A 27,726-nucleotide genomic window follows, 5' to 3' on the forward strand; every position below is an offset into this window, starting at 1 on the left:
GTTCAAATACACAAGGGAAGGGAGTAGGTGGGGCTCACCTAATGTCAACAGCCCTTGGGTGCAGGAACTCTGTGGAGAATGTGACCCCAAGAAGGGAGTGGTGGCAATGCCAACATGCCTTGGTTAAGAGAAAAGGCCCTTTGGCTATAATGCTGTGTCCTAGTTCCCAAGGCAGCCCCCAACTAGATTTCCCTCAAAATGCAGGTGTGTGTATGGGTATGTAGAGAAGGTAGAGTAATCACATGCACCATATTTTAAATGTCGACCTATTTTTACCTCAAAAATTTCATCTGGTCCTCATGGAACCTTTAATGCAGGCAAAGTTAAGACTCAGAAAGGAGATGTGCCTGGAATAAGGACATACAGCTCAATAAGGCAGCAGAGGCATCAGCAAAAGGACCCATTTTGTGTGTGCATTTATTCCAAATTGCCCCCTTTAAAATAGGCTTTTTAAATGTATCATTTCCCCTTCACTCTTTGATTTGCTTTTTTAGAGTCTTCCTGTATTTTATGTATTGGAATTGATCTACAATAAAATACAGGTAGACTGCAACTCCAAGGTCAATAACGGTTGGAGATCCTTCGGTTATTCATGATGCTATGGCATTTCAAGACTGCCTGGGAACTGATGAGAAAACAGATGTAAAACCTATGAGCAAGTCCAAACTTAGCCCATGGGTCACCCCAGCAGACCACAAATGACTTAAAAACCACACATGCGTGCACACACACACACACACGCACTCCCAGCTTGCCTTTAGTAAGGAGTCACAAATTACCATCCTGAACTTTTTATTGGAAAAAAGTGTCCCCGGACAGTTGAAGAGTCATCTCTGAATAGAAAGACAAGTCTATCACTGACATACTGAGTATTTTTATGGTTACAGTGACAGTGAGGAAGAAAAAACTACAAGAGGGGTTGGAGATGAGCGAGAACAAAACTCAGGACAGTAAACAAAGGGGACTTCACACAGGTGAGAAGAAACTCAGGAGGCTCCCATGAAGAGTAGTGTGTTTTGTTCCAACAGGCTGGTCGAGAAGGGCTTACTCAAGGTGTGCAGATCCCACCGCCTCTGTTCTGACACCACCTGGTGTACCGCACCACAATTCTAACAACGACCAGCAGAGTTAGATCAGATGCCACCAGCGAAGGGACATAGTCCCCAACAGGGCTGCCCTCACCTCAGACACCAGCCCCATGTGGGGATCCCAGGCCATCAGCGCTTGTGACCAACTGCCTACAATCCCAGGAGGGTACCATGATCTTCCTCAGGTTCAATGATTCACTAAAAATCACAGAACTCAGGACTATACTTATGATTAGTTTTATTATAAAGGATACAAATCAGCTCCACAAGCCAAGGAAGACACAGGGAAAGGTCTGGAAGGGTCTTGAGCACAGTGCTCCCATGCCCCCTCTTCGTGGAATTAGGGCACACTGCCCTGCCGGCATAGCCACAGCTTCACCACCCAGGAAGCTATGCTGAGCTTTAGTGTCCAGAGTTTTTATTAGGGTTTCATGATGTACTGATTAAAGCACTGGCCAGATGATTAAACTCAGCCTCCAGTCCCCCGCCCCATAGGTCAGGCTGACTCAAAGCCTCAAACCTCTAATCACATGGTCAGTCTGTCTGGTGACCAGCCCCAGCTCTGAGTCATCCCACCTTTTAGCATAAGCTCAGGTGTGATCCCATGGCCTCACAAATAACAAAGACACTCCTATTACCCTGGAAATGTCAAGGACTGAAAGTCTCCCTCCCAGGAAGCAGGGACAAAGGCCAGTTCAATTCTTTAGACAACCTCCAATCCACACCTCCTGGAACTCCTACCCCAATTGAAACAAGGATAAAATCCACTGAACATGGAGGGCCCATTGCTGGCCTGAACTATTTTTGTTTCTTTTTTTTTTTTAAAGCTTTTTATTATAGACATTTTCAAACATATACAACAGTAAAATGAATAATATAATGAACCCTCACACCTCCATCCCTAGTAACTGATTATCCGTGTGTGGCTTACTCTTTGATCGATACTCTCCTGCTTTCCCCTAGCCCCCACAGTTAGACTGTCCCGCAGCAAAGCCCAGACAGACATCCTATCGGTCTGAGAATTCCTTATCAAAAGCTTCCCGAAGAGGAACTCTATATAGGGCAGGACTAAGTGTGCTGGCTATAGGTCTGCAGAAATCTCAACCCTTGGGAGCCCTTGGGTGGGGCCTGGGCAGGTCCCTGGGCAGTAGCCGTCTGTAGTGGGCGGCTCATCTGCTGACAACAGTATGACGAACAAATAGCATTTTGTACCCGCACTACAATGCAGGAGAACGCCAAACACCGCTTTATTGCATTCAAACCTTCTAAGGCACGTCAGCCAGCCCTGGCCTTGTCTACAGCCATGATTATCTCCTTAAAGAGTTAACTCTAAAAAAATATTAAGCTCAAGAAATAACAGCTCAAATACTCCTAACTAATTAAAATCAATAGTGAGAGGCAGAATACGGTAAAAGATAACATATTAGTATTATTGATCACAGATCAATTTCAGAGTACTTAAAACAGGAATAATCAGCTACCACATCTTGAAAAATACAAAGACTTGATCCTAACCTTTTATTTATCATGCCACACGGACTGAGACAGTCCCCAGTACCTGGGTCTAGGAGAGTTATTTTATGTTTGTGTTTCTGGGAATTTCCGATACTTCCCAGTGTATCAGAGTGTTCCCCTCACACATGCTAGCAGGCATCTCCCCACTAATGGAATAGCAAGAGTGGTGAACAGAGCGATCCTCTACTTTCTCATCATATTCTGCAAAATGAGAAGTCAGATGGATACAAAGGTTCCTCCAACTCTAGGACTCCAGGGTTGTGTGGCGGCCCTGCAAGGCTAGGTTATGTAAGGTCTCACCATTGCAAACAGAATGGTTCAAGACAGCAAGGATGCACTCCTCAATTTACAACTCCAAAGCACCTTGCACAGAGCTTGGCTTTGGTTACCTACTTGACTCTCTTTTAAACAGAGGGTCTTATGCTTCCCTATCCTGAGCTGCACATTTGCCAGGGAAGTGGCCTCACTGTTGCCCTCATTTCTGCAGAAGAGAGCCAGAGCAGGAGCCATGGATTTATCTCTGGCATTCTACTCCTCCAAGCCCAGCTGTTTCCCAAGTATTAATTGGTTTCAGACAAGGCTTTCGTTTCAGAAAATCAATGAAGATGCTTTTGATCATCTTCAAAAGCAGAGAAGAATCACCAAAGAACTTTTCTTCCAAGTAGTAAAGGAATAAAACTTCTAAGGACCACATATCACCTATTGCAGGGATGTCTTTCCTACAAAGATTATTGCTCTCCCGAGGAACTGAAAATCCTTGTTAGGAGATGACACCGATCAGGTATGTACCTGCATGTCAGGTGTGTAGCTGTCAGGAATATCAAGTGTTCTGAGCCTGCCTAGAGTGCCCTAGAGTTCCAGCACGAGGCCTGAGATGCATTACATTCTCAAATATCCATATGAAAAGGTCTGGGGTCTCTAGTTCCCCAATGGTGACTTCTTTTCATATTATAGGAAGCCTGACAGGAGCTCTCCTCTAAGCAAAGCCCAGAGTTGGACTCATTTCACTATAAGAGGCTAAATTCCTCATACTCACATCCTGACAACATTAGGCTATAAGGAGCTTGGGGAAAATCCAGCCATCCATTCACTCCCGCCCCTTAGTGGACTGGGTTATTTTCACCACACAGAAACACTGCAGGGAAAATAGCCACTTGTGTGACCCTCTTTAGCTCTTTCCCTCCCTCCCTGATCAATGTGAGCTTATATAATTGGCTTAAATGAGGAAGTCAGTAGAAGGGGCTAGGGCCAGCCCCAGGCTCTGACTCACGCAAGGGCCAGTGCTGGGTCTGCAGCCTGTGGCCAGGGATGAACAGGAATGTTCCTGTTCCCCATGAGGTTTGCTAAAAGACCCCTTTGGTGGTAGGTTGACACCCCAGCAAGTGGCCTAGCATGGTCCGAGGCAGCCGCATAGCCTGTCTGCATGATAGCAGGCTTCAGGGATCCAGCTTAGCTGGAGGCTTGACTGTGCTAGCCTCGGTGGTACCTGCACTGTCATTCCATATGTCACAATCCAGGGAAGAGAGGCTATCACCGAGAAGAGTTGTCAGTAAGAAGGCAGGACACTCTAACACGAGCAAACCCACCAGGCTTCTGTTGATCCAGGGCAGCATCCCCCTCGCCTGGCAGAGTTCCTTGCCCCACAGCCAAGGCTATGGGAAGCAAGGCCTCCAGCAAAGCTCATGGCTGCCACCAAAGCATCTCTGCCAAGATGCTTCTTATGATACTTAGGAAGGATTTCCACCCAAACTGGATCAGGGTCACCATGACCCTGAATCACAAATCCAACACAGGCTGATTCCAATCATGGTTTGAAGCTTTAGCTGAAAAGTTTGCTGTTTGAAAACCATCAATGTGGGGGCGATGGGTGTGCAGGGTAGGAAGGGAACGCACTATTTTCCAGTGGAGGAAGAGGGTATGCCTCTTTAGGAAACTGTTCTGGGTAGAGACTGCTGTGGGTGTTTCCTCAAGCACAGATAATAACCAGGAGATCAAGCCCCAACATGCGGGTAATGGAGTTTATGTAACATTGAAACTCAATGACTTTGGAACTTTAAAAACATCTATAGTAAGAATTCAAAACACCAAGATCTGAAGGCTACCCCAGAGAGCAAAGGGGCAGCCTTCAGATCCAAGTGGCCCAAGACAGAACCTACAGTAGCTATGGATTTTCTCTAAGAGGAATCGGGCACTCATGACTTCACTTCCCAGAGCTCTGCCCAGCTGCCCAGCAGCCTGGAGATTTCCAGAACAATGGGGAGTAGGTCACCCTGCCCTGATAGGCACCAGGGGGTGGAAACGCCTCCTCGCCCACAACACAATCACTCTCACCCCTTTCCTGGCTAAATCCCACCTCCCACCCTCCCGCCAGCTCCCCTCCCATGCTCCCAATCCTTGGGACCTCTTGGGGAATTATCCAAGGAGAGTTCTGCCTGCTGTATTTTCACTAGGGTCTTGGGACTTCTGCAGGCAGTCAGCCCAAGTGCCTACAGCCTGCCTACTTGGGGGAGCAGATGGAGAGTGTGGCACCAGCAGAAAATACCCAGAAAGCCGGGTACAAAGCCTCAGTAAAGTCCACCCTGAACTTATACATCAGGTGGACCTTGTCGGCAACAGCGAAGAAGATGACAAAGCCGTGGTCACAGTTGAGAAGCACGCCCACCCGCGTGGCCTTGGTGGAGGGCAGGGTTTTCTCCACGTTATTGTGCCAGGCAGAGATCTTGGTGTTGAACCACTCCACGCACCAGGAGGCGCTGTTGCGGCCGAGCCTGCTTTCTGGGCCCTGCCGGTTCATGCTTCCGTAGCAGATGCCTACCCCACAGAAGTTGTTCTTCTGCAGCTCCACCTCCCAGTAGTGGATCCCCTTCTTGTAGCAGTGCAGGCCCAGCACCTGAGAGCAGTATGTGAACCTCTGGGGATGCGGCCGGTAGTTCTGAGGCATCTCAGCCACAGAAGCTACTGTATAGCACTCTGACAGAGCCACTTTGTTGTGGGCGGTGTTGTAGTCCAGGATGACTTTAATGTAATCTGAGAAAACATCACCCCAAGGAATTAATTACAAGGGGCCCAAAGTGCTCTTTTAGACCTTTGCCAAAGTGGTACTATTTATTCACTAGTTTTATCCATCCATGCACCCATCTACCCATTGGTCCATCCATCCACTCATCTATCCATCTGTCTGTCTATTCATCCATCTATCTGTCTATCCATGTATCCATCAATCCATCCATGTATCCATCCATCCATCTATCCATCTACCCATGTATCCATATACCCATCTATCTACCTATCTATCCATTCTTCCATTCATCCATCTATCCACTTATCTATCCATCCTTCTGCCTTTCCATTTATCCATTCATTCATTCATTAATCTATCCACTTATCTATCCATCTGTCCATTTATCCATCCACCCATCTATCCACCCATCCATTATTCATCAGCTCATCTATCCATCCATTCATCCATCCATTCTGTCCAGCCAGCCAGCCATCTATCATCTATCAGTCATCCGTATGTCTGTCCATTCATCCATCCAAAACCATTTACCAGGCACCTGACTGACACCAGATTCTGGCACAAGATGCACAACCATGAACCAGAGAGACAAGGTGCCGGGCCTCATGGAGTTCACACTCCAACAAGCAAGGCAAGTCCATCAGTAACAACACCATGAGACTCACACTCTGCCAAAAGGGTAAGCACACACTGTAGGGACACAGAGACAAGGCAACTGATGCTACAGTTGGGGAACATTTCACTGGCAGGCTGGAATTGGAGCCAAGTAACAGAAGATGAGAACTAGACAGAGGAGAACAGAGAGAGAAAAGCTGTTCCAGACAGAGGGAACAGTGAGAGTGAAGCCACGGAGTGCCAAGGGGATTCGCATGTGCTGGGATCGGGGAAGCTGGGTGGCTGGGAACACAGATGCAGCAGGAGAAGGGAAACATGTTGGGGCTAGAAAGGGAAGGGCTTAGGAGGCTAGACTTTAACTGGTGGGCAGCAGGGAGCCAAGCGAGGCACTCATTTGCTAGGTGGCTCAGGGCATGACACTTTTCACTGGAGCCCGAGTTTCCCCCAAGGCAAAATGAATAAGCTGGGGGTGGAAAAGGCCCTAAGTTGATAGAATTTTACTTTCCCTGTTTATGCGGCTGCCACAGAGTGCACAGCAGCTCCTGAAAGACGTGGCTCAGCACCGCCGCTAGCAGCTTGGGCAAGAGTTAGCTGCAGCCCAGGGCTGGTCTGGGCCTCTCTTGGGGGGCAGGGACAGCGGAGGGCTACAAGAAGGCCAGCCCTGAAAAAGCAAGGGACCCACAGATCCCCACCAAGCCTGCTGCAGCTGCTTATGATAAAGGAAGGGCTATATTTTTCAGTGATTGGCTTTGGCCTCCACATGGAAGTGGGTACCACTGGCAGGTGCTGCCTGGAGTGTTGCACGTGGGTGCAGAAGAAACAAGAAGACGGAAAGTGGGAGGGCCCTAGGCCTGGCCTTGACAACGGAACTCCACCCACTTCCAGGTTGGACGAGCTTGCAAAGGAGGGGTGGATGGAAACCCAGGGGGGTATAGCAGCTCAAGCGGCAAGGGGAGAGAGTGTCAGAAGGAGGAGGAATGCCACTGACAGGTGAAGCTAAATAAAAGCTGAAAGGCGTCCCTGGATTTTGTGACACGGAGTACCCTGATGACCTCAGAGCTGCCTGGGTCAAGGGCAGGACAGAGGTCAGAATGCAGTGGCACGAGGATTAGACTTCAGGCTCCCACCTCGGCCCCACATTGCAACCCTGGGCAGCCAAACACCAACATTCTGAATGAACCAGTCTGGGGGACAGCCTGGGCATCGGGGATTTTAAAAAGCTCCCCAGGATTCCAACACGCAGCCACAGTTGAGAGCCACCAATGTAGAAAATCTGCAGAGCTGCTTTTCCCCAACTGTCCTCAAAAGGATCATGGAGGAAATGAGCTAAACATACAGCTTTCCGTGCTTGCCTGAGTCTGATCTTGTAGGGCTAGAACAGGGCCCAGGAATTTGGTTTTTGGGGTTTTTTGTTTGTTTGTTTGTTTTTTAAGACAGAGTCTCGCTCTGTTGCCCAGACTGGAGTGCAGTGGCACAATCTCGGCTCACTGCAACCTCCACCTCCCAAGTTCAAGTGATTCTCGTGCCTCAGCCTCCCAAGTAGCTGGGATTATAGGCATGTGCCACCACGCCCGGCTAATTTTTTGTATTTTTAGTAGAGATGGGGTTTTGCCATGTTGGCCAGGCTGGTCTTGAACTCCTGACCTCAGGTGATCCACCTGCCTCGGGCTCCCAAAGTGCTGGGATTACAGGCATGAGCCACCGCACCCAGCTAGTAATTTGTATTTTTAACAAGCATTCGGGTGAAAGGGAGGCAGGAAACAGAGCTGCAGCTGAGACAGTTTTGCTAGGTTTGTTTTTGTGATTTGGAGAGATGTAAACGTGCTACAGATAGGCAAGCCTAGGTAGAGATGCTGAGGGTGAAGAGATGGGAATGGAAAGGCCTAAGAGAGAGCAGAAGATTCCAGAGAGCGTGTGGGGAGCAGACTCCAGAGCCCAGGGCCAGGGGGTCTTGGGAAAGGGGCCAGGAGGCGAGGAAGGGGGCACAGTAGATGCAGATGCGATGTCAATAACAGAGCAGGGGGAGCCCCTTCTACAGTGTCTGTCTTTTTCGTGAAGCAGAAGGTGGGCGGGACAGGGAGAAGGATGGAGCTATGGCCAGTGGGAAGTCTTGGGAATGGTGGCTCTGGAGAGTGGTGGGGAGGAGACAGGAGATGCAGGGCAGGCATGCCGGCAACGGGACGCCCGGTGAAGGCCGGTGACCGCAATCGCCCTGCCTTCTCTGCAGAGGACATGCAGGCGCCGACCCACAGAGAAAGGTGAGCTCAATTGGGCCAGACTAGACGGCAAGAGGGAGAGTCAAAGGACCGATTGTGAAATCTGAGCTAGTTAGGAAAAGTAAAGAAAGGCACTGATGACTGGGAGAAAATAAGGGAGCAACAAAGTAGAGGACAAGTGAAGGGGAGTGGCTGATATAGCCGGCCAGCTGGCCTCACAGAGAGCTGCACAGAGCGGCGCAGGAGAGACAGAACCAGTGGAACCGCGCACCAGCCCCGAAGCTACTCACACTCCAGGAGCTCAGGTCTGGACTTGGCCAGGAAGGTCTCCAGCACCTTGGCCTTGAGAGATGTTGAGTTCGGATGTGAGCTGGTGGCTTTGGCTGCAGCTGGGAGAGGAAACAGAGAGTGATTTGCAGAACAAACTCAGAGTGGACACCCCAAAGCTCCTTGCCCATGATAACTTACCCTCCAAGCCAGCTTGTTTTAAATCCACTAACTGTTCCGGGGCTCCAAACGTGGGAAGCTTGCTGGGTAAGGCAGGGACAGGGGCTGGGGGTAAGGAAAGGGAAATATGATACAGAGCAACGGGATGGCCTCTACTCCCTTCCACACTGATTAAGAGCCACTTCTACAAACACACGCCTGAACAGCAGGACAACACAGGGGAAAACAGACAAGGCTAAAGTCACCTTATTCATCTCACTTATGCTTGTCCTCCCCTCCAGCCTCAGGCCTGCTGCCATTACAGAATGGAATCATATAGAACCCATCACAGAACCCTGATGAGAGAGGTCGACTCTCACTACCAGCATTTAGTTCTGTGCTCGGGCAGTCTCAAGAAACGAACAGTTGCAGAAATGCATAACTTACGAGGTTTCTTGGATTTCTTTTCCTCTTCTGCAAAAGAAAGTTTTCAGATTTAATTTCTTTTAAGGCACAACACAATGACATTTTCAAAATAATAACATTCATGTGCATGAATTTGACCCAGACAAATAAAAGGATGTTTTAATTTGAAAAACAGAAGGAGTCAGCAGGCAAAATGAATCTATAGTGATAGAAACCAGCATGAGCGGTCGTGGGGGCGGGGACTGACTAATAAGGAGCATGAAGGAATTTTCTGGAGAAAGGGAAATTCTTTATCTTGATTTGAACAATGGTAACACATGTATGCATTTGTCAAAATAGATCTAACTGCACATTTAAGATTTACTGCAGGGAAAAAAGAGATTTACTGCAGGTAAATTATATTTCCATAAAGGAAAAAACACAAAAACCAAATAGGGAATCAGAAAAAAAAAAATGCTTGCCAAGGGCTGGGCGCATGGTGGCTCATGCCTGGAATCCCAGCAATTTGGGAGGCCAAGGTGCAGGAACCACTTGATCTCAAGCGTTAGAAACTAGCATGGGCAACATGGGGAAACCCCATCTCTACAAAATTACAAAAAAAAAAAAAAAGAAAAAACTAGCCAGGCCTAGTGGCACACACCTGTAGTCCCAGCTACTTGGGAGGTGAGGCAGAAGAATTGCTTGAGCCCAGGAGGATGAGGCTGCAGTGAGCTGTGTTCTTGCCACTGCACTCCAGCCTCAGCAACAAAATGAGACCCTGTCTCAAAAAAAAAAAAAAATGCTTGCCAAGTCTTTTAAAAATATCTGGAGTGTCTACCTACAGGAACTGAGTTTGGCTAAAATAGTCGTTCTCAAAGTCTGGTGCCCAAGCCAGCTGCAGTGACATCACCAGAGAACCCCTAAGAAATGCAAATTATTGGTCAGGCACTGTAGCTTACTCCTGTAATCCCAGCAATTTGGGAGGCTGAGGTAGGAGGATTGCTTGAGGCCAGGAGTTCAAGATCAGCCTGGACAACATATCAATATCCTGTCTCTACAAAAAAAAAAAAATTGTTTTAATTAGCCTGGCTTAGTGGCACATGCCTACAGTCCTAACTCCTCAAGAGGCTAAGGTAGGAGGATCACTTGAGCCCAGGAGTTCGAGGCTGCAATGAGTTCTGTTCGCACCACTGCACTCCAGCCTAGGCAAAAGAGCGAGACTCTGTCTCTTAAAAAATAGTAAATGCAAATTCTTGGGCCCCAAGCCAGAGCCACTGAATCATAAAGGCTGGGGGTGAGACCCAGCAATCTGTGATGTACAAGCCCTCCAGGTGAGTCCAAAGTCCACTCAAGTGGGCTAGAAGATCCCAGCTTCCTTCTTTGCCACCTTCCACAACACTGGAACAAAAAGGGGCGTTTTTGAAATCATATCCCTGCCCACCTGCAGGACACCTGACATTACAGATAAGCCCTGCTCTCTCCTATTACCCTCTCCCTCCCCCAGACCCCCATCACACCACAAAGCCCCCTTGCTACCGCTTCTCCTACTTCGAAGTCACATCACTCACAGTCGCTCACTCTCCCATTTCCTCCCCTTCTGCCACTTTCCCACCCACTCCCTGTGGACCAGCATCTTGGGAGGCCCAGGCTGTGACATCAATCTAGGGCACAGGCACCTCCCTCATCACCTACCCTTAGACATCTCTCTGCACTGGGACTACTCCATACCCCCTCCCCTATTTCCCCATTTCAGCCTAGAGGAGCCTTGATTCATTCCCGAACTTTATTCTCCAGGGTGTCATTCTGCTGTGACATGAGGACCTCACCTCACTGGGGAACACACCTGCCTGCTGGCCGGCATCCCTACCTCATTCATACTAAGGGAGGAGCTTTCAGAGGAAGGTGACTGGGGAAGGACACAGGTCAACAGTACCTTTCCACTTCCTCTTTCACTCCTCTTTTCACACAAAGTACCCTTCGAGGTTTTCCGGCCCAGCTAAGGGCTCCCTCCTCCATCTGCACCAGGCATCCCAGCCCTGACTCTGTTCCATTCGGGGACCGATACCACACTCTGCCTGCTACAGGTGACCTGAACACTAAGCACAAGCAACAACAACAAAGAGCAAGCCCTGGCTCTCTCATCCCCCCAACACCAGCAGTGTGCAGCCAGCCCTCCTGGGTTCACACCAACTTTTCAGGGAAGCAATGACAGCTAACATTTCAGTGGTATATGGACATGTCAGTGGTATATGAACATGTCAGCGGTATATGGGCATGTCAGCGGTATATGGACATCTCAGCGATATATGAACATGTCAGCGGTATATGGACATGTCAGCAGTATATGGACATCTCAGCGGTATATGGACATGTCAGCAGTATATGAACATCTCAGCGGTATATGGACATGTCAGCGGTATATGGACATCTCAGTGGTATATGGACATCTCAGTGGTATATGGACATCTCAGTGGTATATGGCTCATAAAGAGCTCTCACAATCAGTGTCCCCTCATCACTCAGAATCATCCTGTGGCCTCGATATCACTATTGTCCACATTTGCAGAACAGGACCACTCTTCTCCTCAACCCCCATGTCAATGGCAGGTGCCTGCCCAATGAGGGGGATAGTACCCCTAGGAGGGCAAAAATGGATCCTTGGGGGAGGGGGAGTAAAAAAGATTACTCTTTTTATGTGTAAAAGCACAAACATAAACAGTTATGCAGTAGATGGGTGGTATTAAAATTTCATGGGTTGTAATTAGGAAAAAAATTTTCTCAAATGGTTCTGGGGATGAGCAGGAGGAGGGTAACAGTGAGAAACCAAAAAAAAAAAAACAGTTGAGAAACATGGTAATAGCAGAAGCCCATTACAACCCAGAGACTTAACACTGCTGAGATGCCAAGGAGGTTTAGCCTCCACCCTTCCTGGACCGCCATCAGTCTCCTTGCCCAAGGCTCTGCCCAAGGACTTGGGTATAGTAAATATTTCTCAAAACAAGCCAGCCTCAGGCATCTTGCTGTTCCAGGCAGCCCAAACGTGCAATGCTGATGGACAGCGGAGCTTCTGCCACAGCCCTACAGCCCCCCGCAGTGGGGACTGCCACCAACTTCTTTCCCACTGAGGTCCAGGCCCCACAGTGACTCGGGATGGGCCGGAAGTGACTTGGCCAGAGCCTGGGGAGGCCACAGCCATGCTGTTGCCATGGAGACAGGGGTGGGGCTACTTACTGGAGACCTTCTTCACAGGGCGTGTGGATTTGTGTGTGGACGCTGGGTCATGCTCTCCAGGGTCACCTGTGTCAGAGAAGAAGGGCTCAGTGTGTGCGGCTCCTCTCACTGACCCTAGCAGCCAGCTTTGCCATGGGTCGGTGGGCAGGCAGAGGGTTTACACAGACAGCCATTTCCTCCGACCTTCCCCATCCCATCGCTTACAAGAGCTACAAACAAGGTGATCTAAGAACCAGTTTGGTGTATTCCCTTTTTTCTCTGACTTTTTAAAATGTAGCAAGGGCCAAGTCTTTTTTCCACCAGCACCCAGCTCTGTGGCCTCTGAGACTTCTCTGAGCTTTGGTTTCTTCGAGCACACAATGGGGATGACTTCACCTTGCTCATGGTTGATGTGACTCCTGAATGAGATCAAGGTCATGTAGCGGAGGCTGGGTCAACACTTGTTCCTTTCCCACTATTCTTTCTCTCCCCTCCTCCCACATACCAGCCACCTATAGCTTTGCCCCCACGCAGCACTTCCACAATGGGGCTGCACCGCCACCGATTTCAGAAGCCCTTCTGCAAGGACACTCGGCAGGCCAAGCTGAGATTCAAGCCCAATCTTGGACTACACAACAGAGATTTACTATGGGCCAGGCTCTGTGCTAGGCACTAGGGAAATAGCGTTGAAGAAAAATCAGACAGGCCAGGCACAGTGGCTCAAGCCTGTAATCCCAATGATTTGGGAGGCCAAGGCAGGAGCATCACTTGAAGCCAGGAGCTCAAGATCAGTCTGGACAACTTAGCGAGACCCTGGCTCTACAAAAAAAATTTTTTAGGCTGGGCCCGGTGGCTCACGCCTGTAATCCCAGCATTTTGGGAGGCTGAGGCAGGCAGATTACTTGAGGTCGAGAGTTCAAGACTAGCCTGACCAAAGTAGTGAAACCATGTCTCTATTAAAAATACAAAAATTAGCCAGGTGTGGTGGCACATGCCTGTAATCCCAGCTACTCAGGAGGCTGAGGCAGGAGAAATGCTTGAACCTGGGTGGCAGAGGTTGCAGTGAGCAGAGATTGGGCCATTGCACTCCAGCCTGGGTGACAGAGCGAGACTCCGTCTCAAAAAAAAAAAAATTTTTTTTTAATTAGCCGGGCATGATGGTGTGTATCTATAGTCCTAGCTAGTCGGGAGGCTGAGGCAGAGGGATCACTTAATCCCAGGAGTTTGAGGTTACAGTGAACTATAATCACGCCATTGCATTCCGGCCTGGGCGACAGAGCAAGATCCTGAATAAATAAATAAATAAGCCGCAGCCCCTGACCTCACAGAGATCACAACCTAATGAGGGAGATATACGGGGATCCCAAGGAAGAATGCGATACTACCCATGCAAGAGTCCCAAGAGGATGACAAGGACCCTGGGCCCAGTCTGAGGAGTGGGAGCAGTGGCAGGGGAGGCTGGCTATAAATGTAATGTTTTGCTGATCTTTGAAGGGTGAGAGGAGTTAATTAGTGAAGACGGTGGAGTTCAAGCCTTCTGGAGAGTGGGGAAGAGCAAACACAAAGGCCCTGTAGCAGGAAGTTTTGCATATTTGAGGAACTGAATGCAGAGAGATGCACCAGAGGAGAGTGGGGGGCGCCTTGGGGCTGGAGAGAGACCAACAGGGCTTGACCTGGCATCTAGACCAGGGTCAAGGGTTTGGTCTGCATCAGGGAGTAATAGGAAGCCTAGTGAGAGGGCAAAGCAGAATAGGTCCCAGGACATGAGCTCTGCATCATGAAAATCCCTCTCTGGCTGCAGCGGCAGATGCAGAGGGTTTAGGAAGCTGCTACAGTCATGGGGCGACAGGTGATGGCAATGGAGAACAGGCAAGCAGTGCTAGGATCAGCAGACTGAGTCAGGAGATTGAAAGAAGTGAAATTTGGCAATGGATTGGATATGGGGTGATGAAAAGGGGGTGTCAAAGAGGAATTCTAGATTTCTCCCCCAAACGGGCCATTCCCCCACCAAACACAATAACAAGCCCTAGCTTATTCAAAACCCATCCAAGTTGGCCTCAAGATCACAGGCCAAAAGAGCCTATCTGTCCAGAAAGTCCAAGCATTAACATCAAGTCCCCAAAAATGCTTTAGGAAAGATCCTAAAATGTCAGGATGAAGCAGACTCCCCACCAGCCTCCAGACAGAGGGCGGATGTTTCAGGAGCCCTGAAACTCAGGCCCCAGTGCTCGGGATCACGCCCCAATCTCCCATCCCAAAACATTTAGGGGACCCATCGGGTTGCAGGGTTCCACAGGGGGCAGCATAGGGGGCTGCTAAGGTCACCTGAACTGGGGGTGGGCTCCTGGAGCCGCCCGATGCACTGCTTCAGCTCGTTTTTGAGGTCTATGGTGCTCTGGTGGATGCCTTTTATCAGCTTGTGGTTCAGTTCCACCTCGGGGATGTAGACTGGCTTTGTTGAGATTCCTCGCAGTTTTGATGCTTTCTGGAACATGCCAGGGGGTTAGTGCAGGCAGCTCTGGTGAAACGGGGACCTGGGCTCAGTCCTCACCAACCCCAGGAGGCTCTCCCCTATGCCCAAGAGTGCTAAGTCCAATTGGCCTTCTCAAATTACAGGCCAGAGGTCACCAGGAGTTTAAATGACACTTGAAGACACAGTAATCTGGAGCTGGAGGGGACCCCAGAGGTCACTCATCTTACAGATGGGGAAACTGAGGTCTAGACATGGCAGGAACTCCACCAGCTAGGGGCACAGACACAGCTGGGACTGAGATCTTCCGATCCCCCAGGACAATGTTCTTTCCACTTTTCCAGCTAAAGGTGGAAAAGCACAGGAAACTCAGGACCACCCCAATCCTAGGGGAACAGCTCTAATCACACATTCTGGTAACAGACAGGGACATCTCAAGGGATGTGGATTGCAGCCAGGGAATATCTTATGGGAAGGGAGGGTCTTCCTGGAAGTCCCAAACTTTGAGAAAAATAGGGTTGTACAGTATCAAGAAGCCTAGATGTGCACTCAGATCCTTCGAGAGCTCGGGGCAGCTGCTCCAACAGACAGGAATGAACACTTGGGATGAAACTTAACGCCATCCAGACTAGGCACGCATCAGGCCTCAGTGCACAGAGACAAGGTTCCCATTCACTCCTGCACTGTCTCCCCACCCCCTGATCTGAACAAGGAATCTGGGTCTTTCAGGTATAGCTGCAGGTCACTCAATCAATGGGGCACACCACTATATGCCAAGCACTCTGCTATGTGCTGGTCAGATTGGCAGGAGGATGAATGGGGGTAATAAGAGATGGGCTTACAGTCAAAACAGCCATGAAAAAATGCACATCTGAAACAACATCACCCAATGTTACTGTAGAAACAGTGTGGCATGCTTGGGAACACCGATACGGCATGGCAATGGGATCCAAGGCCCTGGAAGGATACGACTCACTAGGCAAGAATGCCCAGCATGGCATCCCACCCACACCCACTGTGTCTGGGGAACAGTGAGTGCATAGGGCATGAGCCAGGGATGGATGATATGAGATGAGACTGCTGGCACAGGCGGGGCCCAGTCACCTAGGACCCTGCAGGCCATGTTAAGGGACATGAGGCCAGAAACAGCAGGGGGCCCATGCTTTAGACAGATACTTTGATACAGTCTGGATGTTTGTCCCCTCCAAATCTCATGTTGGAATGTGATTCCCAGTGTTGGAGGTGGGGCAGGGTGGGAGGTGTTCGTGTCGTGGGGGTGGATTCCCCATGCACCGCTTGGTGCCCTCCCCATGGTAACAGGTGAGTTCTTGCACAAACTGGTTGTTTAACGGAGGCTGGCACTTCCTCCTCTGTCTCTTGTTCCCTCTCTAACCCTGTGACATGCCTGCTCCCAGCTTCACCTTCTGCCATGAGTAAAAGCTTCCTTCCTCACCAAAGGCCTAACTAAAAGCCAAACAGATGCTGGTGCCATGCTTGTACAACCTGTAGAACTGTGAGCCAAATAAACCTCTTTTCTTTATAAATTACTCAGTCTGGTTGGGCGCAGTGGCTCACACCTGTAATCTCAGCACTTTGGGAGGCCGAGGTGGGTGGATCACCTGAGGTCAGGAGTTCGAGACCAGCCTGGCCAACATGGTGAAATCTCGTCTCTACTAAAAATACAAAATTAGCTGGGCATGGTGGCGTGCGCCTGTAATCCCAGCTACTCAGGAGGCTGAGGCAGGAGGATCACTTGAGCCTGGGGGCAGAGGTTTCAGTGAGCAAGATCACACCACTACACTCCAGCCTGAGCAACAAGAGTGAAACTCCATCTCAAAATAAATACATAAAATAAATAAATAACTCAGTCTTAGGTACTCCTTTATAGCAATGCAAAAGGGACTACTAACACACACTTCCAGGAGCTGCTGGAGGAAGGATGGGAGGAAGAGGTGGAGTGTGAGTGGCAGGCAACGTTCTAAGATGGCCCTCAAGCCCCCGACCCCGACTGATGTACATACCCTATAGTATGCCCTCCCCTTCAGTATCGGCAGGACGGTGAATGAAATAGGATATCACTCCTGTGATTAGGTTATGTCATGTGGCAAAGGGGGTGGAATATTGCTGGTGTAATTAGCATCTCAAATCAATTGATTTTGAGTTCATCAAAGGGCAATTATCTGGGGTGGGCCTGACTTAATCAGGTAAAAGACCTTAAAAGAGGGATTGCATCTTTCTAGAGGAGAAATTCTCATGCTGGCCTTGAAGAAGTCAGCTATCAATCTGAGAGACAGCCAGCAGGAAATTGCGGGGGGCCTCAGTCCTACAACCATAAGGAACTAAATTCTGCCAACAACCACATGAGCCTGGAAGACAACCCTGAGCTCCAAAGGAAACAGCCTGGCCATCCCTCGCAGACTGTAGCCTGGTGAGACCCTATGCAGGCCACCCATAAAGCCATGTCCAGATTCCTGAGCCAGAGAAACTCTGAGAGAATAAATATGTGTTTTTTGAAGCCCCTACATTTGTGGTAAGTTGTTGCCCAGCTCAGAAAACTAATACAGCGTGTGTCTCAGGGATGCTTCCAGTGACCTCTTCCAGTCTCCCGCTCCTTGAGGGCCCTATCATCAACAGCATGACATCAGGCAAAAAAAAAAAAAAAACATTCAACAATGCCTTGTGGCGACCTACCTCCAGAAACTCGAACTCATCCCTCTTGGTCAGGCTCTGTTCAATCTCCTCCTTCAAGGTCTGGATCTCACTCTTCTTCTTGAGGAGAATCTGATAAATGGTGTCAAACTTGCTGTTGACCCTCTTCTCCTCTTCCTTTATCTTCCTTGTCGAGGTGGTCTCTGAGGCGTCCAAGAGAGCCTTCATTTCCGTGTATTCTTGTTGTAGCTGCTCCACCTTTCTGTTTGCAGTCATCTGAGAGGGCCAAGGTAAGAGGATGCCCGTCAAAGGGGCAAAAGTGCTAAGGCTGCAGCCCCAAGCATGGGTGAGATGTGGAGTTCCAGGAACTCTTACCTGTACTTTGTGGGAGAACAAACCACTGTGGGGAGCAACTTGGCAATATCTAATAAATTTGGAGGTGCTCATAGGCTATGACTCGGCAACTCCAGTCCTAGGAATATGTGCTACAAAAAATTGCAGCCACCTGCCCCTGAGACATGCATAAGAATGTTCACAGGCAGCATTGTCTGAAGTAGCAAAAACCTGGAATCAACCTGAACATCCATCAGAAGAAGACTTGAAGCAAAGACTGGGAGCTATTCATAGGATGGAATATTAAACAGTTATGAAAATTAATAAACTGGAGCTATGCCTGGATAAATCTCCATGAGAGAAAAACAACTTGCAGAAGAAGATCCACCATATGATGCTCTTTCAATAAAGCTTAGAAACAAACAGAATGGCTATATGCACAAAGAAACGCATGGGAATGAATAAATAAATTCAGGAGAGTGGTTACTTCTGGAAGAGAGGAAGAGGGATAGAATAAGGGAGAAACAGATGGGAGGGGCTGCATCGATGATATTTTATTTCTTAAGCTAAAGGTGGTTCATGGGCAATTTTTAAAAATAAAAGTCAGCAAGAGATCAAGACCATTCTGGCCAACATGGTGAAACCCCATCTCTACTAAAAATACAAAAATTAGCTGGTTGTGGCAGCGCGCACCTGTAGTCCCAGCTACTCAGGAGGCTGAGGGAGGAGAATCGCTTGAACCCAGGAGGCAGAGGTTACAGTGAGCCGAGATCGTGCCACTGCACTCCAGCCTGGGAGACACAGCGAGACGCTATCTCAAAAAAATAAAATAAAATAAAACAAAACAAAAAGTCAGGATGCAGCTCTGGAAAATTTCTAGAGAATATCATGCTCTAGGATTGTACTTTCCAATAACATAGCCACTTGCTACATGTGGCTACTGAGCACTTGAAATGTGGTTAGTCCAAACTGAGACTTGCCATGAGTGTAAAATACATACTGGCTTTCAAGGGTTTCACACCAAAAAAAGGAATGTAAAATATCTTAAAACTTTTAAATTGATGATATGTTGAAAGAATAATATTTAAGATATACCAAATTAAATAAACTATAATATTAAAATTAATCTCAGTCAAGTGCAGTGATTCATGCTCATAATCCCAGCACCTTGGGAGACCGAGGCAGGAGGATCGCTTGAGGCCAGGAGTTCAAGACCAGCCTGGGCAACATAGACAGACTGTTTCTCTACAAAAATAAAAATAAAAAAATTAGATGGACTGTATTCCTGGAGAGTGGGGGTGGTGAAGGGGAGTAGGCTCAGTCAGGAAGATTACTTGAGCCCAGGAGTTCAAAGCTGCAGTGAGCTATGATTGTTCCACTGCACTCCAGCCTGGGTGATAGAGTGAGACCTGTCCTAAAAAAGATAGATAAATAAAATACAATAAATCTCATGTACTATTCAAATTAACTTAAAATGACATCTGCACTCCTACTGTATTTCTGCTGGACAGCACTGCTTTAGTAGCTGCAATTTTGTTTCACATCTTGGGTAGCCTCAATAGCTGCTATGGTTTGAATGTCTCCTCCAAAGCTCATGCTGAGATTTAATTGCCACTGAGGTGATTAGATCACGAGGGCTCTGCCCTCATGAATGGATTCATATTCTTATCACAGGGTTTGACCTCCTTCTTCCTGTCCCGCTCTCCTGCCTTCCATCCTTCCGCTATGGATGATCCTCACCAGATGCTGGAAGCATGCTCTTGGACCTCTCAGGCTCCAGAACTTTGAGCCAAATAAACTTCTCTTCTTTGCAAATACCCAGTCTGTGGTATTCCGTTATAGCAGCAGAAAACAGACTAAGACAATAGCTCAGAATCAAACATAACAAAGAGAAAAACACACAAGAAGGACAGTAGACTGGAAAAGAGGAATTCAAGTATTTCTTCGCCAATATTTTTTTTTTTTGAGATGAAGTTTCACTCTTGTCACCCAGGCTGAAGTGCAATGACATGACCTCGGCTCACTGCAACCTCTGCCTCCCGGGTTCAAGTAATTATCCTACCTCAGCCTCCTGAGTAGCTGGAACTATAGGCATGCACCACCACGCCCGGCTAATTTTTTGTATTTTTAGTAGAGATGGGGTTTCGCCATGTTGGCCAGGCTGGTCTTGAACTGCTGACCTCAGGTGATCCATGCGTCTCGGCCTCCCAAAGTGCTGGGATTACAGGCGTGAGCCATTGCGCCCAGCCTTCTTTGCCAATCTTTCACTGTGCAACTTCTAATGTGACTACAAGTGTCCCCCAGTGTTCATTTTCCCTTTTTTCCTTTTGGTAAGAGAACATCCCTGGAGTTTCATCTGGGCGTGTGGCTACTCAGACTACATTTCCCAGCCTCCCCTGCAGCTAGACTAGGCGATGTGACAAAACTCCTTCCAGTGACCCATGCCCAGGAGTGATATGTGCAACACTGTGTCACTTGTGTAAAGGAAAATTGCTTGTTGTCCTCCACCTCCTTTTTGTCCCTTTGTCACAGGCTAGAACAAAGATGTAATGGTAACCCAGCTTCAACCAAAGAGGCTGGGACAATACCTTGTGGAATAGTAGGGTAATAAGAAGGGAGAACCCTTAATCCCTGAATGATCACATGAACCCTTAGTCTGGGTTACTCATGTGTGGGTTTGGACTGTCAGTTGGTAAAATAAACTTCAATCATATTTAAGCCTCTGAATTCTGGTGTATCTTTGTTACAGCAGTATAGCCTGCCCTCTAACAAATACAGGTACTTTCACGTGCATTCTTTCATTTGTCTCACAGTCATCTTCAGAAAGAACTTGTGATTCCATTGTGCAAATTGGGAAACGAAGGTTCAAAGATCTGTCAACATGACCAAAGCAACATAAACTAGTATGTGACAGAGCTGGTATTCTAACCTAGATCTCATCTAATGAAACCATAACTGCTGCAATAAAACTGGTGCTGCAGCTCTGAAAAAGGGTAAAAATCTGATCTTTCCATTTAAAAGCAATTTAAACGTATCGAAAATCTGAAAAACAGGGGGAACAAAACCATTCCTAATTTACCACTCCAACACTTCCACTATGATCCTTCTATAATATTCCCTTTCAGTTTCTTTCCATGCTCTCTGTAATGGGTTGAATGCTGGGCCCCCAAAAGACATGTCCATATACCAGAACCTGTGACTGTAATCTTACTTAGGAAAGAGGTCTTTGCAGATGCAATTAAAGATCTTGAGATTCGATCATCATAGATTACCTAGGTGCTCCCTAAATCCAATGACAAGGGTTCTTATTGGAGATGGAAGACACTAAGGGAAGAAGAGACAGGTATGTGAAGACAGAGGCAGAGATCAGAGTGATGCAGTCAAAAGCCAAGGAATGCCTGAGCCACCAGAAACTGTAAGAAGCAAAGAAGGGTTCTCCCCTAGAGACTTCGGGAGTGTGGCCACGCCAACATCTTGATTTTGGACTTCTGGCCTCCAGAACTCTGCCAGAATACATTTCTGTTGTTGTAAGCCACCAAGTTTCTGGCAATTTGTCACAGTAGCCCTATGAAACTAATATACTTCCTTTTTGTAAATAGATGCAACCCTATGAGCTATATACTTTTGCTTCCTCTTTTTCTCCCACTTTATATCATAACCATTTTTCTGAATTACTACTTTTTAATCCTAATTTATAATGATTTCCCCCACAGTTGGGCTTATAGGTAATTTTTGGTTTGGGTTTGCAAAGGATCTCTCTCAGACACACAGCTGTCTGCATGCTTTGCAAGGTTGATGTTTCATCCTGACACTGTGAGTGCACCCAACACCAGCCTTGTCATGGTCAGAGCCACGCCCATCCCGCGTGGAAGCTGAGCGAAGCCACAGGGCAGGGCTGGCCTTGGAGAGCCCTGCCACTCACCCGCACATCCTGCTGCCTGTTTCTCACATCATCCAGTGCTCTCGACGCCCCGTTGATCTGACTGTACATGACAGTTAGTTTGTGCCTCAGGGTGGCCTGCAGGGAAAACAAATGAGGTTGAGAATGCACCTCTTCAGCCCAGCCCCACCAGAAGCCATCCCTGGAACTATCCCACAGGATAGATTCCTTCCTCTTCCACTCCACCCAAGTCTTGCCACCCCAAGTCCTGTCACCCGAGTCTTGCCTGCTTGGAGCTTTTTGAAGCATTCTAATACTTACTACTTCCCTTCATCCTTTTCAGAGGACAGTACAGACCAGGGTTCCAGTCCCAACTCCCAGCTGTGCAACTGTGTCCTTCACCTCAGTTTTCTTGGACACAAAATAGATACAACTGTCCCCAGCTCACAGGGCTATTGGGAGGATTAATTGAAACAATGTAAGTACTCAGCCCAATGCCTGGATCTTAGGAAAAACATACTAAATGCCAGCTTATATTATTATGAGTTTTTCTCTAATTACCCATTTTACAGCCAATGAAACTCAAGCAAGGAGGACAGAAAGGTGGCCAAGCTCACACAGGAACAGAACGAGCTGGGACAGCTGCTTCGGTAATGGCAGGTGGGGCCACTCAGACCAATCCTCCCACTGCAAACAGCCAGGAAAGCAGTCCAAATAATGGGGCAGCGGGGAGATCTGCTAAAAGATGCTGGAGAGCCAATCAAGCAGAGGATTAAGAAGTCAAGGTCCAGGAGAAGGGGGAAGGGGGCCCAGAGAGATAAGCCTGATATCTAGGATGTTCTCTCCAGAGGCATCTGCCAATCCCAGAACAAGGCTGGGAGCCTTTGTCAGCCTCACAGGGCAGGGAGACAGAAATCAGAGTCCAAGGCTCACTGCAGACTGGGACCACCAAGGGCTGGGAATAAGATGAATCAGCCAGCCAGGCGCAGTGGCTCATGCCTGTAATCCTAGCACTTTAGGAGGCCCAGGCAGGTGGATCATTTGCTCTCAGGAGTTCGAGACCAGCTTGGGCAACATGGCAAAACCCTGTCTCTACTAAAAATACAAAAATTAGCCAGGTGTGGTGGTGCACACCTGTAGTCCCAGCTACTTAGGGGGCTGAGGCAGGAGGATCGCTTGATTCCGGGAGGTTGAGCCTGCAGTGAGCTGAGATGGCATCACTGCACTCCAGCCTGGGTGACAAAGTGAGACCCTGTCTCAAAAAAAAAAAAAAAAAGATGAAGTAGCTCACAGGGGCTGAAGCCCAGGTGCAAATCTGCTCAGTCCTAGCCACCTCCAGAAACAAAGGCAAACTGTATATGAAGGAAGCTAATATCCTCATCTGATTTCAATTAATTTTCATAATCAATATCTGAGTCTCCTACCTCCCTGCTCAGATGAATACTGCACAGAAATGGGAAGGAAAATCACCACCACCATAACAGCAGCAGCCAGTATTTATTATGCACTTACTGTATGCCAGGCACTGTTCTAGTGCTTTACCTGTATTAACTTACTTAAAGCTAAGAACAACACTATGAGGTAGGAATTACCCAGCCTTTACAGACAAGGACACTGAGGCACAGAACAATTAAGTGACTTGCCCCAGCTACACTACTAGTAACTGGCACAGCTAAGATCCCGATATTAAAATCATAGACACATGCCCAAACTGAGCATGCTGGAGATTTCTAGAAAAAAAAAATTTCCTTCCCGTAACTAGCAGGCTCAACATACTCTGGCTCTCTCTTCCACTTCCCAGACTCTTCAACTCCACCCAAGATATTCTGGGCGGAACCTGATCTTGAATCTAGATTTGAACAACCCAGTGACAGTCACATGTAGGGGTTGGAGGCAGGGACCAAGGCCACACTAACTCAATCCGAAAAGCCCAAGCTGCTCATGATGTTTCAAACTTGACCTCTGTGACACTGCCCTTCGACCTGGCCTCTAACAGTGGCCAAGATAAGGTGTGGGCCAAAGACCAGGCCTACATACATCCGGCCTTGCTGGCCTCAGAGCAAGAAGAGACCTCAGAACACCCCAAGGCTGCCAACTGCTTCACTTTCAAGAGCTGCTCATAGCACTACACCCTGAGCCCTATATTTTGAAAGATTTGATACACCATTAATCAAACACATGCGGCAGTACCCTCATCATGAATGGTGCCCACACGACTCCAGACCAAAGGAAAGTGACCCAAAAACTTTGGTAGCAGCAATAATCCCCTAATCAAAGGCAAAGGACTTTTTGAAATCCTGAGGATCCCTTCACAGACTAGAGACTTGGGTCTTCCACATGGGAGGCACCAGAGTCTCAAGTCCGACCCCACCAGTGGCCAAGGCAACCCAGCCCCCGAGGCTAAGGGCATTGCCCAGCTGAGACTGGCTCTGCCAACAGTGATGAGCAGCAGTAGCAGGGCTCAAAAAGCAGACCTGTTATAGGACTCAGCAAGTCAGGACAGGGGGGTAGGTGTTGGCAGAGGAAGGCCTGTTGTTAGGATTAAACAGCAGAGTTTAGGCCAGGCTCCTGGCTCACGCCTGTAATCCCAGCACTTCAGGAGGCTGAAGTGGGAGGATCCCTTGAGGTTGGGAGTTCAAGACCAGCCTGGACAACATAGTGAGATCCCGTCTCTACAAAAAATGTTTTAAAATATTAGCTGGGTGTGGTGGTGCGTGCTTGTAGTCCTAGCTACTCAGGAGGCTGAGGCAGGAGGATCACCTGAGTCCAGGGTTTAAGGTTATAGTGAGCTATGATCATGCTACTGTAGTCCAGCCTGGGTGACTGAGTGAAAACCTGTCTCTAAAAGAAAAGATTAAAAAATATATATATATGGGCCGGGCGTGGTGGCTCACGCTTGTAATCCCAGCACTTTGGGAGGCCGAGGCGGGTGGATCACAAGGGCAGGAATTCGAGACCAGCCTGGCCAACATGGTGAAACTCAGTCTCTACTAAAAATACAAAAATTAGCTGGGCATGGTGGCGCAGGCCTGTAGTCCCAGCTGCTCGGGAGGTTGAGGCAGGAGAATCGCTTGAACTCGGGAGGTGGAGGTTGCAGTGAGCCGAGACCGCACCACTGCACTCCAGCCTGGCGACAGAACAAGACTCCAACTCAAAAAAAAAAAAAAATTCTGATTTTATAGCCAGGCCCCATGGTAGCACACCTGTAGTTCCAGCTACTCAGGAGGCTAAGATGGGAGAAGGATTGAGGCCAGGAGTTCAAGACCAGCCTGAGCAACATAGTGAGATCCCATCTTTACAAAAGAATTTTTTAAAACTTAGCCAGGTGTGGTGGCTCACATTTGTAGTACTACCTACTCAGGAGGCTGAGGCAAGTGGATCACCTGAGCCCAGGAGTTTGAGATTACAGTGAGCTATGATCACCCCACTGTACTCCAGCCTGGGTGACAGAGTAAGATCCTGTCTCTAAAAGAAGAAAAAAAAAAGCCAAGTTTAGAGCCAGGCACGGTGGCACACCTGTAGTCCCAGCTACTCAGGAGGCTGAGATGGGAGGATCCCTTGAGGCCGGAAGTTCAAGAACATCCTAGGCAACATAGCAAGACCCTGTCTCTAAAAGAAAAGAAAAAAAAAGCCAAGTTTATATGCTACACAAAGCTGGATGCAGACCCCCAACTCTGACCTTGCTCAGGCTACTGTCTCCTCTGACAACACGAAGACGGGTCTTGTTCTCCCTGAAGGTGCTGTGAGAATGAAATGAAATCAGGCCATGCTTTGGATCTTAGGCTGATGTAACAAAAGGTGGTTTGATTTCAGCCTCTGCTTTGAGGCCACAAGGGGAAGGTATGATCCCCAAACCACCTAAAAACATTGCAGACCTGAAAGGCCCTTAGGAATCCACCTAGTCCCACAGCCTCACTATACTGGTGAGGACCCAGGTCCAGGGGCCAAACCCCATGCTCAAAGTCACACGGCCAGGACGGAGGACACTATGGTGCAAGAGTGTTGGCTCTCCCTGTGGCTCTGATCCAGTGATTACTGGGACGCTGCCCACCCTCCCTCTTAGGCCTCTAATAACAACCCTTCCTGATCACAGGAACTCTCCGGCCCACCAAAGGCTTTTGCTTACATGACCTCAAGCTTCCTGGACTGTTTGGTGCTCCGGACTCTACGGACCTGGATACGAGGCTGGTCCATGGGAAGAAATGCAAACTATGAAATCGAACCAACCCGGGTCACAATGCCTGCGTGGCTATTTACTGCATTAGGTCAGGCTAAGTTCATTTCTCTGGACCTCAGTATCCTCAACAGTAAAATGAAACTAAATCATATCCACCTCCTGGGTGCCACCAGGACTTCGTGAGGGAACAGAGGTAACCTCCAACGTTCATAGTTGACATTCAAAACCCTCTACTAAACACCATCAGATGGTGGGGCGCAGTGGTGCACGCCTTTAAAGACCTCCTAGCACTTTAGGAGGTCGAGGTGGGCAGATCGCTTGAGCTCAGGAATTCGAGACCAGCCTGGGCAACATGGCGAAACCTCATCTCTACAAAAAATTAGCGAGCCTGTGGTCCCAGCTACTTGGGAGGCTGTGGTCCCAGCTACTCTTGAGGCTGAGGTAGGAGGATCCCTTAAGCCCGGGAAGTCGAGGCTGCAGTGAGCTGTGATTCCGCCACTGCACTCCAGCTTGGGTGAGAGGGACGAGACCCTGTCTCAAAAAAATAAAAATAAACACCATCAGACAATGACAGGATTATGGCAAGCAACCTAACCTGTCTTCATGGATGATGGGAAGGGACTATATAATCTCCCATCCCCTTTCTACTCTGACATTGGAGATGCCCCGGCCTCGAATTCAGGCCCATCTCCCCAGGGCGTCCAGAGTGTGGCAGAGAGGCCCCCGGTGGCCCCTCTGCACCACCCATCAGGCCAGGCTGCCCTCTGCACCCAGCAGGCCGTTCCCTACCTCCAGGTCGGCGCTGGCCTGGCTCAGGGACGCGGGAGAGCAGGTCTTATGCTCCACCAGGCAGATGTGGCAGATGCACTCGCTGTGCTCGGGGCAGAAAAATTCCCGCAGCCGATTGTGCTGGGAACATTTGCGGCGCAACAGGTCGCGAACGGGCGGCTGCAGCGGGTGGTCCTGGAAGGCGGGGCTGTCGAAGTGCGGCTGCAGGTGCTCCTGACAGAAGGAGGCCATGCACACCAAGCACGTCTTCACGGCGGCCTCCTTCAGGCAGTGGTCGCAGGCCACCTGGGCATTCGGGCTGGGTGCAGAGGCGCGGGCGGGCGGCGTCCAGACGTCGGCGGGTGGCTCCCGGGCCAGGTCGGCCTGCAGGAACTGCTCCACCACGTTGCACAGCACCGTGTTCTTGTGCAGCTGCGGTCGCGCCTGGTAGACGGCGCGGCACTGCGGGCACAGGTATGGCGAGCCCTGGACTGCCCACGTCTCATTCAGGCACGACCCGCAGAAGTTGTGGCCGCACGGAGTGGTGACCGGCTCCTTGAAGGGCTCCAGGCAGATGGAGCACGACAGCTCCTCGGCCAGGGGGCACAGCTCTGCCATGGCGCTCCCAGGGGTCGGGACACAACTGCTGCACCCGCGCTCCGAGGCCGCCGAGGAAACGAAACCTAGCTCGAGAGGAGCAGTCCCTGAAGCCGTCAGGAAGTCACGTGGGGTGCGGGGGGGCGGGCGGCGAGGACTGGGCGGGCCTCGCGAGGTACTCCCGGGAGCCTGCGGGCACCGCAGTCCCAGTCGCCCATGAGCTGGCGAAGGTCGGCCGCGCTCCGATCCCCAAGAGCTCCCGCGGGCTGGGCGCGGGACGCCGGGCTCGGCCTTAGCCCCCGGGATTTAGAGCATCCTCGCGACCACCCGGAGGCTTCTGGGGGCCACTCTGCGGATG

The 27,726-nt window shown here is 49.2% G+C and overlaps 1 protein-coding gene and 1 non-coding gene across 2 annotated transcripts, besides 5 other annotated features; both read right to left on the reverse strand.

Annotated features, from left to right (window-relative positions):
• Positions 1 to 1,309: 1,309 nt before the first annotated feature.
• TRIM25 (tripartite motif containing 25) lies at positions 1,310 to 27,450 on the reverse strand. Its single transcript, NM_005082.5, has 9 exons — positions 26,793 to 27,450; positions 21,869 to 21,964; positions 17,656 to 17,889; positions 14,820 to 14,979; positions 12,516 to 12,581; positions 9,327 to 9,353; positions 8,922 to 9,005; positions 8,744 to 8,842; positions 1,310 to 5,630 (listed from the first exon to the last, which is right to left on the reverse strand). The coding sequence occupies exons 1-9, from the start codon at positions 27,387 to 27,389 to the stop codon at positions 5,101 to 5,103; spliced, it is 1,893 nt and encodes a 630-aa protein (NP_005073.2). The 5' UTR covers positions 27,390 to 27,450; the 3' UTR covers positions 1,310 to 5,100.
• On the reverse strand, positions 4,671 to 4,756 carry MIR3614 (microRNA 3614). The gene has a single exon (NR_037408.1). It is a non-coding gene; the product is annotated as a microRNA 3614 (primary transcript).
• Positions 25,588 to 25,637: an enhancer, noted in NCBI's record as "active region_12419". NCBI's record gives its function as "activates an Ori minimal core promoter by ATAC-STARR-seq in GM12878 lymphoblastoid cells {active_cell/tissue: GM12878}" and the evidence as "EXISTENCE:reporter gene assay evidence [ECO:0000049][PMID:35858748]".
• Positions 26,918 to 27,588: an enhancer, noted in NCBI's record as "H3K27ac-H3K4me1 hESC enhancer chr17:54990878-54991548 (GRCh37/hg19 assembly coordinates)". NCBI's record gives its function as "activates a minimal SCP1, AML or CMV promoter by ChIP-STARR-seq in naive H9 embryonic stem cells {active_cell/tissue: H9 hESC(naive)}" and the evidence as "EXISTENCE:reporter gene assay evidence [ECO:0000049][PMID:30033119]".
• Positions 26,918 to 27,618: a biological region, named in NCBI's record as "H3K27ac-H3K4me1 hESC enhancer GRCh37_chr17:54990878-54991548".
• Positions 27,199 to 27,428: an enhancer, noted in NCBI's record as "active region_12420". NCBI's record gives its function as "activates an Ori minimal core promoter by ATAC-STARR-seq in GM12878 lymphoblastoid cells {active_cell/tissue: GM12878}" and the evidence as "EXISTENCE:reporter gene assay evidence [ECO:0000049][PMID:35858748]".
• Positions 27,479 to 27,618: a silencer, noted in NCBI's record as "silent region_8741". NCBI's record gives its function as "represses an Ori minimal core promoter by ATAC-STARR-seq in GM12878 lymphoblastoid cells {active_cell/tissue: GM12878}" and the evidence as "EXISTENCE:reporter gene assay evidence [ECO:0000049][PMID:35858748]".

Source organism: Homo sapiens, chromosome 17, assembly GCF_000001405.40.
Source record: "Homo sapiens chromosome 17, GRCh38.p14 Primary Assembly".
NCBI classification, from domain to species: domain Eukaryota; kingdom Metazoa; phylum Chordata; class Mammalia; order Primates; family Hominidae; genus Homo; species Homo sapiens.

What these genes read in the sequence shown, in the direction of transcription:
- TRIM25 (NM_005082.5), bottom strand. Translation starts at nt 27,389, where the DNA reads ATGGCAGAGCTGTGCCCCCTGGCCGAGGAGCTGTCGTGCTCCATCTGC. An exon ending in ATGAGTTCGAGTTTCTGGAG is followed by an intron (nt 14,980 to 17,655) that starts GTAGGTCGCCAC and finishes GGCATGTTCCAG; the next exon opens with AAAGCATCAAAACTGCGAGG. An exon ending in CAGACCTGAGCTCCTGGAGT is followed by an intron (nt 5,631 to 8,743) that starts GTGAGTAGCTTC and finishes ATGTTTTCTCAG; the next exon opens with ATTACATTAAAGTCATCCTG.